General features: G+C 45.9%; 1 protein-coding gene across 14 annotated transcripts in view, besides 1 other annotated feature; it reads right to left on the bottom strand.

Annotated features, from left to right (window-relative positions):
* The window catches only part of FAM193A (family with sequence similarity 193 member A), a 197,199-nt gene that overhangs the window by 83,408 nt on the left and 98,329 nt on the right, over nt 1–15,462 (bottom strand). For 10 of the 14 annotated variants that reach the window (NR_046336.2, NR_046335.2, NM_001366316.2 and 7 more), the window contains 2 exons: nt 9,307–9,431; nt 2,334–2,481 (listed from right to left, as the gene is read on the bottom strand). Coding sequence is in view for 11 of the 14 variants with exons in the window: in NM_001366316.2 (NP_001353245.1) it covers nt 2,334–2,481; nt 9,307–9,431 (273 nt within the window). In the remaining 3 variants the exon portion in view is untranslated. Of the gene's footprint in view, nt 1–586; nt 665–2,333; nt 2,482–9,306; nt 9,432–10,076; nt 10,261–15,462 lie in introns of those variants that run through there. The other 4 variants (XM_011513590.3, XM_047416342.1, XM_047416344.1 and 1 more) reach the window with 2 other exon arrangements.
* Nucleotides 1,850–2,350: an enhancer, noted in NCBI's record as "H3K4me1 hESC enhancer chr4:2648543-2649043 (GRCh37/hg19 assembly coordinates)". NCBI's record gives its function as "activates a minimal SCP1, AML or CMV promoter by ChIP-STARR-seq in naive H9 embryonic stem cells {active_cell/tissue: H9 hESC(naive)}" and the evidence as "EXISTENCE:reporter gene assay evidence [ECO:0000049][PMID:30033119]".

Below are 15,462 nucleotides of genomic sequence, written 5' to 3'. Positions count from 1 at the left end.
CTGGGCTCAAGTGATCCTCCCACCTTAGCCTCCCAAAGTGCTGAAATTATAGGTGTGAGCCACTGCACCTGGCCAGTTTTACTTTTTAAAAATAACACAGAAAAAACTTATTTGGAATTAAAAGCTCACACAACACTAAAACATCACCTAACATAATTATCTCATTTTGCAGGTAGGGAGGGAAAAGACTCATGGGGCAGATCCGGGACATTCTGGTGTTGACTGCCGTGCAGGGTTCTCCCTGGGACCCAAGTCAAGAACATCCCAGGGAGTGGTGACCTGGACACACTACTGGCCCTCCTGCACGGCCACAGCCCTGAAGAGCCTCTGCCGAAGATGCCCACTTCCTGGAGAAGGTTAATGCCCACTGTCCTAGCTTCCCCCAACTCCTGCTCCCTCTACCAGAACAGCAAACTTGTGAAAATGGGCTGGTGCACCCACAGATGGCAGAGGGGAATGCAGCTTTCAGCGCCCTCTCTGCTGTGCTGCCCCCACATGGCACAGCTGCAGCCCCTGGGATGCTCCAGGCCTCACGAGATGAAGGCTGCTGAGGTGCTGCTGCAGCAGGAGACTCTGCCCTCCCCACCTGGCATCCAGACCCTGCTCTCACAGTAGTCCAGGCTAAGAAGTCGCTGGTCAGTGACAAGCCACAGCAGGAAAGTCTCTGGTTGCAAAAACAGACAAAAACATGAATTAGGAATACACCCACTTTGAAGAAAACACAAAACAGCAACTGCTCTCTCAGGCCCCACCATGAGGCACAGGACACAGAGGGAGTCTCCCAGGACCAAAGTGATCTCTGAGGCCCCTCCTCACCCTGACGTGCTGTGCGTACAGCAGCCAAGGAAGAGGCGCAGAGTCATGGGAGAGTCTCAGGGCCACCTGCCCTAAGACAAGCTCAACAGCACAGAATTCCGCATGTGACGAAGTTGGAACTTACTCCACTGAAGCTGATGCAGGTTCAAAAAAAGCCAGCAGGCCAGGCGCAGTGGCTCACAAATGTAATCCCAGTACTTTGGGAGGCTGAGAATGCAGAAGAATGGAGTAAGAGAAAACCCGCGAAAATCCAAACAACAGACCATTTGTAGCTCTAGTCCCTGTGGCTGCAGTAGAGAACAGCAACAGAAAACACGGCCTGTAGCTGTGAAATCAATGACACAATTCTCGGAGGGAGCAAGCACATGCTAGTCCCTTCCTTCTTCCCAGTCCCTCACAGCACTGACAAGGAACACTGACAAGGAGCCACAGGTGGCATCCACATGGCACTCACCATGCCAGGGCAGACATGGAACCAGCACATGTCTTAGGCTAGAGCCCAGGTTCCATTTTCCTACAGAGAGTCTCCGAAGTGCAAAAGAGAAACTCAGTCATTCCTTCTTTACCCTTGCTCACACTAGTGTCATCTTTAAACCAGGGCCGCTCTCAATTCCTTCCTGGCCCAACCCTGCTTTAGGAGAGCAGGCAGGCCAGGGGTGGGAAGCGGGGGGAGGGGGCGCCGTCTCAAAGCCCTGCTCTGTCTGACAGGCTTGGGCTGCCTGAGTGCCCTCCCTTCAGATCCACCTCCAGCAGGTGCCCTCCCTCTTCTGTCTTCCACCTGGTGAGCCACCTGCCACCTGTGCATGTGTCTGCACTCCCTTCTAGACTAGGACAGATGGACAATGAGCTCTCAACAGCAGAGTGCTCAGTAAACAGCTCCTGGACTTAAAAAACCTCCTACCTGGACCAGGCGTGGTGGCTCACTCCTGTAATCCCAACACTTTGGGAGGCTGAGGCAGGGAAACCACCTGAGGTCGGGAGTTCGAGACCAGCCTGACCAACATGGAGAAACCCTGTCTCTACTAAAAATACAAAACTAGCCAGGCATGGTTGGTGCATGCCTGTAATCCCAGCTACTCGGGAGGCTGAGGCAGGAGAATCACTTGAACCCGGGAGGCGGAGGTTGGGGTGAGCCCAGATCTCACCATTGCACTCCAGCCTGGGCAACAAGAGCAAAACTCCATCTCAAAAAAAAAGAAAAACCTCCTACCTGGGGTGCAGAGCCTGGTGACAGCCCGTGTGAGTGACAGCAGGTGTGCCCAGGCCAAGGAAAACTTGACCAACTGCTGCCACCACACCTCAGGCCCAGGAGGCCCAAGCCATCTGTGATGCCAACAGGTTTCCCATCCCTTCCGGAAAACCAGCAGCTAACACACAGGGGCTACCCACATGCGCCTCTGGGCCTCAGTCGGGAATTCCTGGCTTGCAGCTCAGGACAAAGCTAGTGACTTGGTGCTGCCTTCAACAGGGCCGTCTGAGGATGTGCGCGGGGTGCGGTGGTCCCGGGTGGCACTCACCTGCTCGTCGACATAGGCGTCGATCCTCTTCTGGCACTCCAGCCACTCCTCGGCGACTCTGCGCAGCTCCTCCTCGGAACGCTGGTACCTCTGCAGCAAGGTACTGTATGTGTCCTCACTGCAGGTGTCGTGTGTGGTGGTTCCTAGCCTAGGAGAGAGAAGGCCTTGTAACAAAGGAAAGAACCCAAAGGCTCTGAAGCAGAGATCAGAAATGTGCTTCCTGCTGATACTATCCTGCTTTGTCATCTCGCCTCCCAACGTGGAAAACAGGGTGCCACTCTGCACCACAGCAGGGAGCTGTGAGGGATCAACAGATCCCCATGCAAGGCACCCAGGACAGACTTGTAAAAAGGAGATGCTCAGCTGGGCACAGTGGCTCACACCTGTAATCCTAGCACTTTGGGAGACTGAGGTGGGTGGATCACCTGAGGTCGGGAGATCGAGACCAGCATGACCAATATGGTGAAACCCCATCTCTACTAAAAATACAAAAAAATTAGCCGGGTGTGGTGGCAGGCACTCATAGCCCCAGCTACTCAGGAGGCTGAGACAGGAGAATCGCTTGAACCCGGGAGGCGGAGGTTGCAGTGAGCCGAAATCACACCATTGCACTCCAGCCTGGGCAACAGAGCGAGAATCTGTCTCAAAAAAAAAAAAAAAAAAAAAAAAAAAAGGAGATGCTCAAAGAAACAACAGCTTCTAAGAAAAAAATGAGCACTGAACAACATGTCTCTAAAGACTATGACTTAACAATTCAGTTTACCAAATATGGAATTGCAAAGAAAAAATTAAAATAGATAAAAATAAAAATGATAAAAAAATAAATATGGGAATACAAAGTTATTTTACTCTTGAAAATACAACTGGCTCAGAGAAAACAAAACACTTAATGAGACATAAAATTTAGATCTGGTTTTCAAATAAAGCAAAACAAAATCTGATTTACTTGAAGAAATATAGTTACAGTTTTCTGTCTACTATATTATATTGTATTAAGAAAGACGGCGGTCAGGTGCAGTGGCTCACGCCTGTAATCCCAGCACTTTGGGAGGCCTAGGCGAGGGGATCACCTGAGGTCGGGAGTTCAAGACCAGCCTGGCCAACATGGAGAAACCCTGTCTCTACAAAAAATACAAAAATTAGCTGGGTGTGGTGGCACATGCCTGTAATCCCAGCTACTCAGGAGGCTGAGACAGAAGAATCGCTTGAACCTGGGAGGCAGAGGTTGGGGTGAGCCGAGATCGCGCCACTGCACTCCAGCCTGGGAGACAGGGTGAAACTATGCCTCAATAAAAAAAGAAAAAAAGAAAGAAAAAAAAAGAAAGATGGCAAGATGGAAAATGAGAAAATAAATGGGAAACAAAAGACACACATGCAGGTGGACAGTGAGAAAAAACACCTCGATTTCTGAAAAGACTGAGCAAGATGGCGATTGGGAGACAGAAGGCTGGGGGCTGGGGTCAGGAGGAGGACGGGGAGTGGTGTGGAGACACATGTAGATTATTACCAGAAAAAATTCATGTTCCTAATACCTAAGTCTATCAGTGTGAGCCAAAATAAGTGGAATAAAGACATCTTGACAAGGATGGCTTAGAATCAAATACCATGTTTATAATATATCAAGAGCACAAAGATTCTGCGCAAGGTTAAGGATCAGCACTATTTACATAAAAACACTAGAAGCTACCAAATGCATCATGGCACATCTAGGAGAATCAGTACTTGGTAACCAGATACTTGTTACCAATTTTATAATTATGTCTACCCATTCACACACACACACACACACACACACACATTCATGTATATATACACATATATATTTTGAAATGGAAATATGCTCATGGTAACTAAAGATATGACTACAGCATGTTTAAAAATACGTATAGTGGACATAGGGAAAAAATGTATAAGAAATACTAAATTATTTATAAAACCTAACTTTGTTTACGATTTTCTATATTTTCATAATTTTATTTGTAATGACAATCTAATGATTTTATAATAAACAAGCTATGTGGAAATTAGGATCTTTTCATGGGTGAAATGGGCAGGAATGACTCCCTCTTCTCCTCTGACCTATCTCCACCCTCAGGTAAATCGCACCTGGGAACCTTGCAGCTACTGAAGCCATCTGTGCACTCACCTATTGCAGTCTCTCCAGGGAAGGCAGCAGAGGTTAGGTGTAACTGGGCAGTCATTTAGGGAAGCCCAAAGGAAAGAAACAATACTGACGCACATGGATTGAGGCTACTTCAAAACATCAAAGCTGTTCTCCTAAGGCTGTTTCTGCCCCTCAGGAGACAAAACTCCTTAAGACATGGACTCCAGTGGCGCCAGGGATCTGCCACACTGCAGCCCGTGAAGTAGTTTTTCTCCCACTTCTTCTCTGCCAGCCTTGCTCTTCCGTGACTGGTTTCCATTCTTCACACAGAATCCAGCTTCTACCCAATTCCATCCTGCCCCTACTTGCTCCACCTGGAACGTTGGGATGCGGCATTATACCCTGTCATGTGTTCCTTGTCCCGCTCCTCCTGGAAGTAAGAATTTATCTCTTCCAAGTTATAGAATTCAGATTATTTTGAGCCAAGGGAGAGCAAAGTGGGTGGGGGAGGGGGTTTGTGGATATCTTTGTTGGTATAATTGAAAAGCAATCTGCAGGCACAGGGCTTCCCTGCAAGCAAAGCTGTGCTAGGATCAAAAGAGTCACAGGGACTATCCACAGGGTTGAATTAAATCAATGGCTCAGCAAACAGGTTTCCATCTAAATATTGAGCTTGCAAATACAAGACAGCAGCATGAAAATATGCTTACTGTAATGTTACCAATGTGTATGTGAAACATTATTATTGATAAAGAGAATGAAATAACATTGGTTTGGGTAAGTTTTATTAGCCTAATTAATACATATTTAAAGTGAAGCCCACATTGGGCTACTGATACCCACAACAAAGAGAAGCAGGCCTGAGGGATGCACCCCCTGATAGAAACACCCCCCGCCTACGCCTTGGCCTGCCAGGGGATCTGAGCAGAGCCGTCCAGAACCTTCAGATCCTACCACCAATTCTCAGGCAGGACAGAGGATGGAGGTGGCCAAACTGCTCTGTGAACACGCCCACGCAGGATCCAGACCAAAGCACCCCCAGGACAGATGGCCTAGTTCTTTCATAGATACATTTTAAGACAAAAAATGGTGGGGAGTCAAGGGAAGGAAACTGCCCATTACAGACTTTCAAAGGCTATGGGGAAAAAAGAAGGGGACAATGGAGAGTTACTGTTTAATGGTAGAGTTACTGTTTCGGGTGAGGAAAAAATTTTAAAGTACATGGTGGTAATGGTTATAAACACTATGAATATAATTAATGTTATTGAAATATACACTAGTTAAAATGGTAAGCTTTATGTTATATATACTTTACCATAATTTTTAAAAAATGAAATATATCAAAAGTCATTGAATTGTACATTTTAAGTGGGTGAATTGTACCATATGTATTTCATAGGATGCAGAAGCTTTAAGGGGTGTTTGTATGTAATCAGTAGCAAAATTTTTATGAATTGTTAAATGCGTATCTGTACATTAGCAATGCAAATCTGAATTATCTTGAATTAGTCTCAGGCTGACAAGGGAGTCAGCTGCAGAGCACAAAGGCATGGCGTGTCCTGGCGTCGTCAGTGCTGCTCAGGGAACGTGCTGGTTGGCCTCATTCTGTCCCTGTCTGTGTTTATCCTTCTCCCTCAACTGCCTGTGGGTCCCAAAAGTGAGAAGTGAGACTGCAGCTTGAGATCCAGCATCCACACTAGAGACGTGGCTCATGGTTGGAGTCTGACCATCATACCCAATGAGCAAACGGAAAATCCAGAACTAGGGCACAGAAAAAGATGGGAGTTTTCACGGTGAAACCCCGTCTCTACTAAAAATACAAAAAAAAATTAGCCGGGTGTGGTGGCGGGCGCCTGTAGTCCCAGCTACTCGGGAGGCTGAGGCAGGAGAATGGCATGAACCTGAGAGGCAGAGCTTGCAGTGAGCCAAGATCTCACCACTGCACTCCAGCCTGGGCGACAGAACAAGACTCTGTCTCCAAAAAAAAAAAAAAAAAGATGGGAGTTTTATGATGCACTTCCGGTTTCAGTCACCCACCCACAGTCTGACAGGCTGACGGAACTCACTGGCTTACCAGTAAAATATTTTTTTTTAAGGTAGATTCCCTGGAATCTTGTTTTCAGAGCCCCTCTCCCAAGATGCATATCTTCTCATGAAAAGTGCTTTTGATGAATCTGAACGTCATAACCAGGGACAAAGCCTACTCCACATTCCAGATTCACCACTGTGAATTCTCTTCCGATGCCTTTTCTTCTGCAAGGGTCAGAGTAAGGACTTTCCAATCTTGATACACAGTGGCCACAGAAGGGAAGGAATGGCTAAGGAGCAGGCCAGGGCACAGGGAACACTGGAAGGGTCTGCAGCCCACCTGCCAGCTGGCCACACGCCCCGTAACACCTTGTTCTGATTTTTTTGTGTGTTTTTTTGAGATGGAGTCTCGCTCTGTCCCCCAGGCTGGAGTGTAGTGGCGTGATCTCGGCTCACTGCAACCTCCGCTCCCAGGTTCACGCCATTCTCCTGCCTCAGCCTCCCGGGTAGCTGGGACTTCAGGTGCCCGCCACCATGCCCAGCTAATTTTTTTTTTTTTTTTTTTTGTATTTTTAGTAGAGACGGGGTTTCACCATGTTAGCCAGGATGGTTTCGATCTCCTGACCTCATGATCTGCCCGCCTCGACCTCCCAAAGTGCTGGCATTACAGGCATGAGCCACTGCACCTGGCCCGCCTCGACCTCCCAAAGTGCTGGCATTACAGGCATGAGCCACCGCACCTGGCCCTTTTTTTTTCTTTTTTAAGAGATGGGGTCTCGCTGTTACCCAGTCTGGTCTCCAGCTCCTAGGCTTAAGCAATCCTCCTGCCTCAGCCTCCCAAGTAGCCGGGGCTAGAGGCATGAGCCAGCACGTGTAGCTTCTGATCTTTTTGTCCTCAATTCTCTTTTACCTAATTGCTTTCTCTAGAGGTAAGGTTATGAAGTGGAGATGGTCAGGACCCCTCAAATAAAATTTGGGAATACAGGAAACAAAGACTGGGTCAATACACGTATTCTTTTTGTTTGTTTGTTTTTGTATTTTGTTTTCAGATGGAGTCTCGCTCTGTGGTCCAGGATGGAGTGCAGTGGCACGATTTCAGCTCACTGCAAACTCCGCCTCCTGGGTTCACGCCATTCTTCTGCCTCAGCCTCCCAAGTAGCTGGGACTACAGGCATGCGCCACTACGCCCGGCTAATTTTTTGTATTTTTAGTAGAGACGAGGTTTCACCGTGTTAGCCAGGATGGTCTTGATCTGACCTCGTGATCTGCCCGCCTCGGCCTCCCAAAGTGCTGGGATTACAGGTGTGAGCCACCGTACCAGTCCTAATATACGGATTTTAAGAGAAAAAAAGCAGATTGGGCATGGTGGGTCATGCCTGTAATCCTAGCACTTTGGGAGGCTGAGGCAGGTGGATCACTTGACGTCAGGAGTTCAAGACCACCCTGGCCAACATGGTGAAACCCCGTCTCTACTAAAAATACAAAAATTAGCCAGGCGTGGTGGTGCAAGCCTGTAATCCCAATCCCAGCTACTCAGAAGGCTGAGGCAGGAGAATCGCTTGAACCTGGGAGGTGGAGGTTGCAGTGAGCTGAGATTGTGCCACTGCACTCCAGCCTGGGTGACAGAGCAAGACACTGTCTCAAAAATAAAATAAATAAAATAGCAATAACTGGTGTAGTCAACAGAACAACAATTTATTCCCTTGCTTTGTGAAGCTAACGACTTTTTTTCCCCCGAGACAGCATCTCGCTCTATCACCCAGGCTAGAGTGCAGTGGTGCACTCTTGGCTCACTGCAACCTCTGCCTCTGGGGTTCAAGCAATTCTCTTGCCTCAGACTCCCAAGTAGCCAGGATCACAGGTATGTGCCACCAAGCCCGGCTAATTTTTATATTTTTAGTAGAGACGGGGTTTTACCATGTTGGCAAGGCTGGTCTCAAACTCCTGACCTCAGGTGATCCGCCTGCTTAAGGCCTCCCAAAGTGTTGGAATTACAGGCGTGAGCCACCACACCCCTAAGTATAGGTTAACGTGGTCAAATGTAGATGGCTGCTGTCACGATGGGTCTGTATTATGGGAATGTGCTCACATGTGGTAAATAGAATAAAACACCAAAGAACAAAATCACCAAACTGCAGACCTGTGGTAGCTCATGCATGACTCAGTGCAGGGAACAGCGTTCTGCTGAGTAACGTCACATCAGGAGGAACATGCCTTCTAACTGAACATGGTACCACAGGGCAAACACATGCCCAGCCTAAATCTTCTCACTCTGACCCCGAGCAAATACTCAGTGAGTGACTGCTGCACTCTGCACCCCTTTTTCTCAGTGAAAGCATAGAACCCAGCCAGCTTCCCAAGCGTGAAGAAGCCACATGGATGCGCTACACCAGGAGACAGAGCAACAGAGCCTCGGGTAGCAACGGAATGTGTGGGAAACACCAAGCTGTATCCGGAGGGCCTTGGGCACCCTCAGACCTGGGCCTCTTCCCTCCTCCATTTCCCCTACATGTCCAAGAGCCATAGCATGAACCACACCACAGCTGCCCGGCCAAGGATAGGTCTTGTCAAGGAAAAGTGCTATATTTACTGTAGCTTTTCTGTATGAGGAATTTGTGGTGTTAAATCTTAGTAGCATTTATATTGACTTATCATTTAAAAGTTTAATTGTATTGCTTCTCAGGTTTTGAGCTTTTGGCCCAAACTATCTTTTTCTTTAAGCCCTGTTATTTTTCCTGCAAGAACTTTCATACTCAGTGGTACTCGGGTACACGCACACCAGTCAGGAGAAAAGACTGTGCTGTCACACCACAAAGACACATACGGGTTAAGGCAAAATACCTGATCTGTGACACCAGTGCGGGCAAGTTGCTCTGAAGAAGTGGCTCCGAAAAGACCAGATTTTCAAACAGGTGTTTATTATGCAGTTCCCACGTCACTTGGAACTTTTTCAAGTGTTCATTTTCCTGGTTAAGAAAAAGTAAAAGATAAACAGAAGATGTAGTGAATTGCTAAAGACTAGAAAATTCCCAGAGGGATTCCCTCCCCCCTCCCCATTTCCCCCCACCACGCACACATCCCTCTTCACAGGCCCAGAGTGTTCAGCTTATGAGAAGTGCTGCTCCCTGTATGTCTCAAGGCACACAGTGCATCAGAACTCTGACTACACGGACATGGATTTCAGCACATCTCCCCTCTAAAATGGCAAGTTTAGAAGGGCTGCAAAGACAGGGTGACAGGTGTGCACAGAGACAAAGCAGTAACTGCACGTTTGAGAGTCATTTCTCACAATTATACTTTTAAAATGTAATGAAAGCCCTTACAGTTCAAACAGTTTAGATACATCAAGTCCCTCGATGCTAAAGGATAACAATTTTCTTACCTATTTGGAGAAACCTTCCATTCTAATTAATACACACAATTTCTCCACTTGCAAGACCCTATCAGAGTTAAGGTTTTTTGTCTTCCTAATAAATGTAGGCAAACTTGTCAATTACTTTAGATAATACCACGAAAACCTAGAAGTGTCCCAGTCATCATAGAGAGTGATGTCAGCAGAGATGTACAGCAAGCCCCCAACACAAGATCACTGAGGTTGATGCCATTATTACCTTTCCTAAATGTAATGTTCACATTTAATAAGTCTTGCTACAACCATGCGTGTGTGAATCCATGCTTCCCTCTGTCAACTACACGGACACTACTTGTGTTCAGATCACGTTACATCTTTGGGTGAATGTTCCTGACTTCAACAACCGCCAGCTCTGGAAGCTGCACTTCATCATGCTTGGCTACTCCACGTCTCCTGAGTCGGGTCACTCACAGGGACTGGGTTTAGAGGTCTGCTCCTGTTTACAATATAGCCAAGCTGAGTTGATGGAGACCTTAGCAAATGAACGACACAAAGATTTCACTGTTATGTCACCTAATAACCCTAGTTGGTATGGGGGCTGAGAGAACAAATTATAATGATTATAATGATTGAAAGTAAACACCTATAAACACATTTGGAGAGAGCACACCAGTGATACTGCTAGACCACTGTGTGCCAGCCTTGCTGGATACAGCTCTGTTTTCATACCTGGAAACACAAGAATTGAGAGATTCAGCAATGAATCTATGCCATCTGCAGAAAATCTAAAACCTTCCGTTTTGTTAACATTTCCAGTACTTTTCCTCATCGTGTTTTCACCAGTGCCTCCCAGATTGAAACATCATCACTCCTGTTTCACACCAAGCATTATCTCAGAGCAAGCACACTCGGTACAGGAAAAATGCACGTGGCAGGAGACCAGGGCCAGGTAACTGATACCCAGCCCCAGGCTGGAACCCACAAATGTGCTTGTAATAATAAGCAGGTGAAATGCCAAGCCCATGCTGCCCAGGCCCTGTGCCAGGTACGAGGACACGAAGACTACCTCCTGCTACAATAGTCCGCTGCTCTCCAGGAGTTCCCGGGGAACAGAAGAGTAGGCAGTGACCTGACTTACGATTCAGCTACAAGACAAAGAGTACATGAGAGTGAATGCAGCACCTGGATCAGACCAGGTTGGCAACTAGCTGAGGGAGGGGCCTCCTGGAAGAGCTGAGGCTTTGCCTGGCCTCCCTTGGAAACCTCTGGGATAGCCATTTCCACCTGCCTGTCTATGAGTGGAATCACAAGTCTGGCTTTCTGGGCCAGTTGCTAATGGTCACTGGGTGAAGGCTAATTTATGAAGATATTTGGCATTTTTAATAAAACCTAAAATTACACCTCTAGGTGAGGCATGCAAGACAAACAGATATCAGACTCACTTCACAACCGGAAATCAACTTGGAGTTTACTTAAGGAACACATGTTAACACCTGAGTGCCTAGCATGGCCAGGCACTGTCCTTAGCGCTGAATTCAATGCCTCCAGTAAGTTCCCTGTGAACCTGGTAGTGCCCTGCCCATGCCCCATCGACAGGCGTGGAACCAGCATAGAGGGGCTCAAATAACTGGACCGGGGCATGCAGGGGTGGGCTCTGCAGGATGTGTCCTCACAGCTCCTACGAGAGGTGAGGCCTATGGAAGAACTGCTGAGCTAGAGGCAGAAAGGCTTGTCAGTGACCTAAGGGCAGGCTCTGCAAACTGTTCTCACTTCCCACTACAAAAAAGGTTTGGGGGTTTGAAAGAAGGAAGAGAAGATGTTTAGAATGTAGTTCCTACAATAGACTGAAATAACGGGACATTTGAGATCTTTCTGTCTTTGTCGATGAAAATTTAGACTTCACTATTATAGCCTGGTGAGGTGTTTCCTAGATGACTAGAAGCATAACTTAAGCCTAGTGACAATTTTATTTTATTTTTTAGATTTCTTTTAAAAAAATATTGAGTGATTGGTCAATTGACTGAGACAGGGTCTCACTCTGTCGCCCAGGCTGGAGTGCAGTGGTGTAATCTTGGCTCACTGCAACCTCCGCCTCCCAGGCTCAAGCAATCCTCTTGCCTCAGCCTCCGGAGTGGCTGGGACTACAGGTGTACACTATCACGCTCAGCTAATTTTTGTATCTTCTGTAGAGACGGGATCTCACCATGTTGCCCAGGCTGGTCTTGAACTCCTGGGCTCAAGTAATCCACCCACCTTGGCCTCCCAAAGTGCTGGGATTACAGGTGTGGGCCACCATGCCCACTCCCCCAATTTTACTTTAATATTTAAAGTAAATACAAAAAATATGACTCATTATCCTGTTTGATCCCCCAGGCAGTGTGGAATAAACCTCACGTGAGGGCATTCTCCAGTAAAGTTGCATTTCTGAGAATACCTTTCTATGTCCAAGAGTATCCAGTGAGTTCAGCAAAAACAAGTAGAATGGGGGTGCTGTTCAGAAGAGCTAACTAGCTGGCAGAGTTTGCACAGCAAATTAACATGTTGCTTCAAAGAAAACAAGTGACACAATCTGTGGCTAATCATAAAATCTAAGCTTTCAAGCAAAAAAGAAAACTTTAGAAAATTTGCATTTGCTGCTGTTGGCTTGAAAGATCCTACACATTTAAAGAGCTTTCTGATGAGATCAGTGCTGATATAAACAAATATCATTTTTTATATTAATAAAACTGTCAACATCCAGAAGATACTCAGTGAATCAATATTTGCAAAATGACCTATGAATGACACTAGCAAACCATGTATAAGTAGAGAATCCATTCATGGGGTGAGCTGGAGCCTGTGGATTTTAACGGAACAGAGTAGGGTAAGTTCAGTGATACAGTTTCAGACTCTACATCGCAACTAACCATTAAGAAACTCTCCCGCGTTGGTGTACTCTCAGAGAAGATCTATCAGGATTTGAAGAGGCTATTAAAATATTCTTCCTGGCAGGGCACGGTGGCTCACGGCTGTAATTCCAGCACTTTGGGAGGCTAAGGCAGGCGAATCACGAGGTCAGGAGATCGAGACCATCCTGGCTAACACAGTGAAACCCCGACTCTACTAAAAATACAAAAAATTAGCCTGGCGTGGTGGCACCCACCTGTAGTTCCAGCTACTCGGGAGGCTGAGGCAGGAGAATCACTTGAACCCAGGAAGCAGAGGTTGCAGTGAGCCGAGATCATGAGGGACACAGCGAGACAGAGCGAGATTTTTTTTTGAGACAGAGTGAGACTCTGTCTCAAAAAAAACACAAAAAGACAAATTATTCCTTTTTCCAACTAAGACTCCGTCTCAAAAAAAAAAAAATTCGTCCTTTTTCCAACTACATTATCTGTAAAAAGTTGAATTTTCTTCAATAACTTCAACCAGACAACCTATGACAACAGACTGAATGCAGATGAGACTCCCACTGCTTTTACAGAGAGATCTGGAGAGGTGTGAGTGACCCACTCTTCTTAAGAAATATGTTGGCCGGGTGCGCTGGCTCACGCCCATAATCCCAAAACTTTGGGAGGCCGAGGCGGGCAGATCACCTGAGGTCAGGAGTTCGAGACCAGCCTGGCCAACATGGTGAAACCCCATCTCTACTAAAAGAAATACAAAAAAATTAGCCAGATGTGGTGGCAGGCACCTGTAATCCCAGTTATTTGGGAGGCTGGGGCAGGAGAATCGCTTGAACTGGGGAGGCAGAGGTTTCAGTGAGCCAAGATCTCACCACTGCACTCCAGCCTGGGCAACAATGTTTTATTTTGGAAAATAGTTATTTTTACATATGTAATTTATGTTACATTATCTAATGTAAAAGTGTATTATTTGTTACATTCTCTAATATATGTTAAAATATGCAATTTATGTAATCTAATGAGAGTTTACATTTTTAAAATGACAATAAGCATTTAAAAAATTTTCTCAGTTTGAATTTCAATACAGCAAGTACTGATGTAAGTCTGCATAAAAAAGCACACTTCGGGGTCCTAAATTTTTAAGTATAAAGGGGCCTAAGTCCAAAACTGTTGAGAATTACTGCCCTGAGACACCGAGTTTATCTTAAGCTGGTGCTGCATAGATCACTGGATGGCAGTGTAATAATGTGGCTATGAATTTGTGAAGATTTTTGGGTCCTGATTGGAATAACCCAACCATAAAAAGAGATTGGCTGGCATTAGTCGGTAAGAAATTACTATTACCGTCAGTCTTCATGGATGTGACAATGGAACTGTGGCTACAGAAGATAATGGATGACTATTTTTAGAGACACTTATTGGAATATTCTAAGACAAAAAGCACATTGTCTGGGACCCATACTAAAATACTGCATCAAAAAGAGGGAAGAGAAAGTGGAAGAAAAAGAAGGCATAATGAAGTCAGAGTGGCAAAATGCTGATTAACTGCGCATCTGGGTAAGGAGTACATAGATTCATTGTAGTCTCTACCCAGAATCCAGAATTACACATTATAACATCTCACAGACCATTTTCAACAAAGTCCTGTGTTTTGTGTTTGAGATCACTTTTTCTTTGATGTTCTGTAGCTGTCATTATACTATAACCAGAGAAGGATTTTTCAACATCTTACTTGGGAAATCTGATACGTTTCCTTGCTGAACACTAGTATTTTTCAGTAATTCTGAGAATTTCTCAGCTATCATCTCTAAAAAAAGTTTTTGTTTCTAGTTTTGATATTTTTTCAAATCTGAATTATCATTCTTTAGAGTATTAATCCTTAACTCCCAATTTCAAACTTTTACAAAGCTTCTTTAAGCACAGTTAACAAAGTTACTCTATATTCTTTTTTGAAAATTTAAATATCTTTGTTATGTGATTCTGTCTACTGCTTCTGCTGGCTTTTAACTGTGCTGTCATGAACCTTGTGTTTTATGACTTTTTTTACTGTGAGCTGCTCATTTGGGGGGATTTTATCTATTCGAATTCTCTGAGGTCAGATTGAAGGTTTCCAGAGGTGATCTGCATGCTGCCTGACTTTACCAGCAATCCTGGACCACTGTAAAGTAACTTCCAGGCTTGGGCTGTTCATACCACACCAACATTTATTCACACTCCAGCTCATGTGGCAGCTGGCTGACAGCTACCAAGTCTCTGGGAAGCTGTACTCCCTGCATCTCCACCCCAAGGCCACGAGAGCTGCAGATCCCTGCTGTCCCTTTCGGTGCTCGGAGTTTCCACTTCAACCTTACTAGTGTCGTCACTTACAGTCCCAGCATTATGTGCAGACCCCATCCTGGGCTAGGTTGTCTCTTGTCTCCCAGGATCAGAAGAAATACCCACAGCAAATGCTGACTTTCAAGCCCATGTATTTCTCAGGATTCCAGCTTTCAATTGGTTTTTCACCACTACGACTTACTCCCTTTCATGCCATCTCAGCCATACACTTTAAAAGATTTCATCTTTTTTTTGAGACGGAGTTTTGCTCTTGTTGCCCAGGCTGGAGTGCAGCGGCCCCATCTCGGCTCACTGCAACCTCCACCTCCCAGGTTCAAGCAATTCTCCTGCCTCAGCCTCCCAAGTAGCTGGGATTATAGGCGCGTGCCACCACGCCAGGCTAATTTTTTGCATTTTTAGTAGAGACGGGGTTTCATCACGTTG

The sequence above is a fragment of the Homo sapiens genome, chromosome 4, assembly GCF_000001405.40.
Source record: "Homo sapiens chromosome 4, GRCh38.p14 Primary Assembly".
Lineage (NCBI taxonomy): Eukaryota > Metazoa > Chordata > Mammalia > Primates > Hominidae > Homo > Homo sapiens.
The sequence above is the reverse complement of the archived record's forward strand: the minus strand, read 5'-3'. Positions and strand labels throughout refer to the sequence as shown.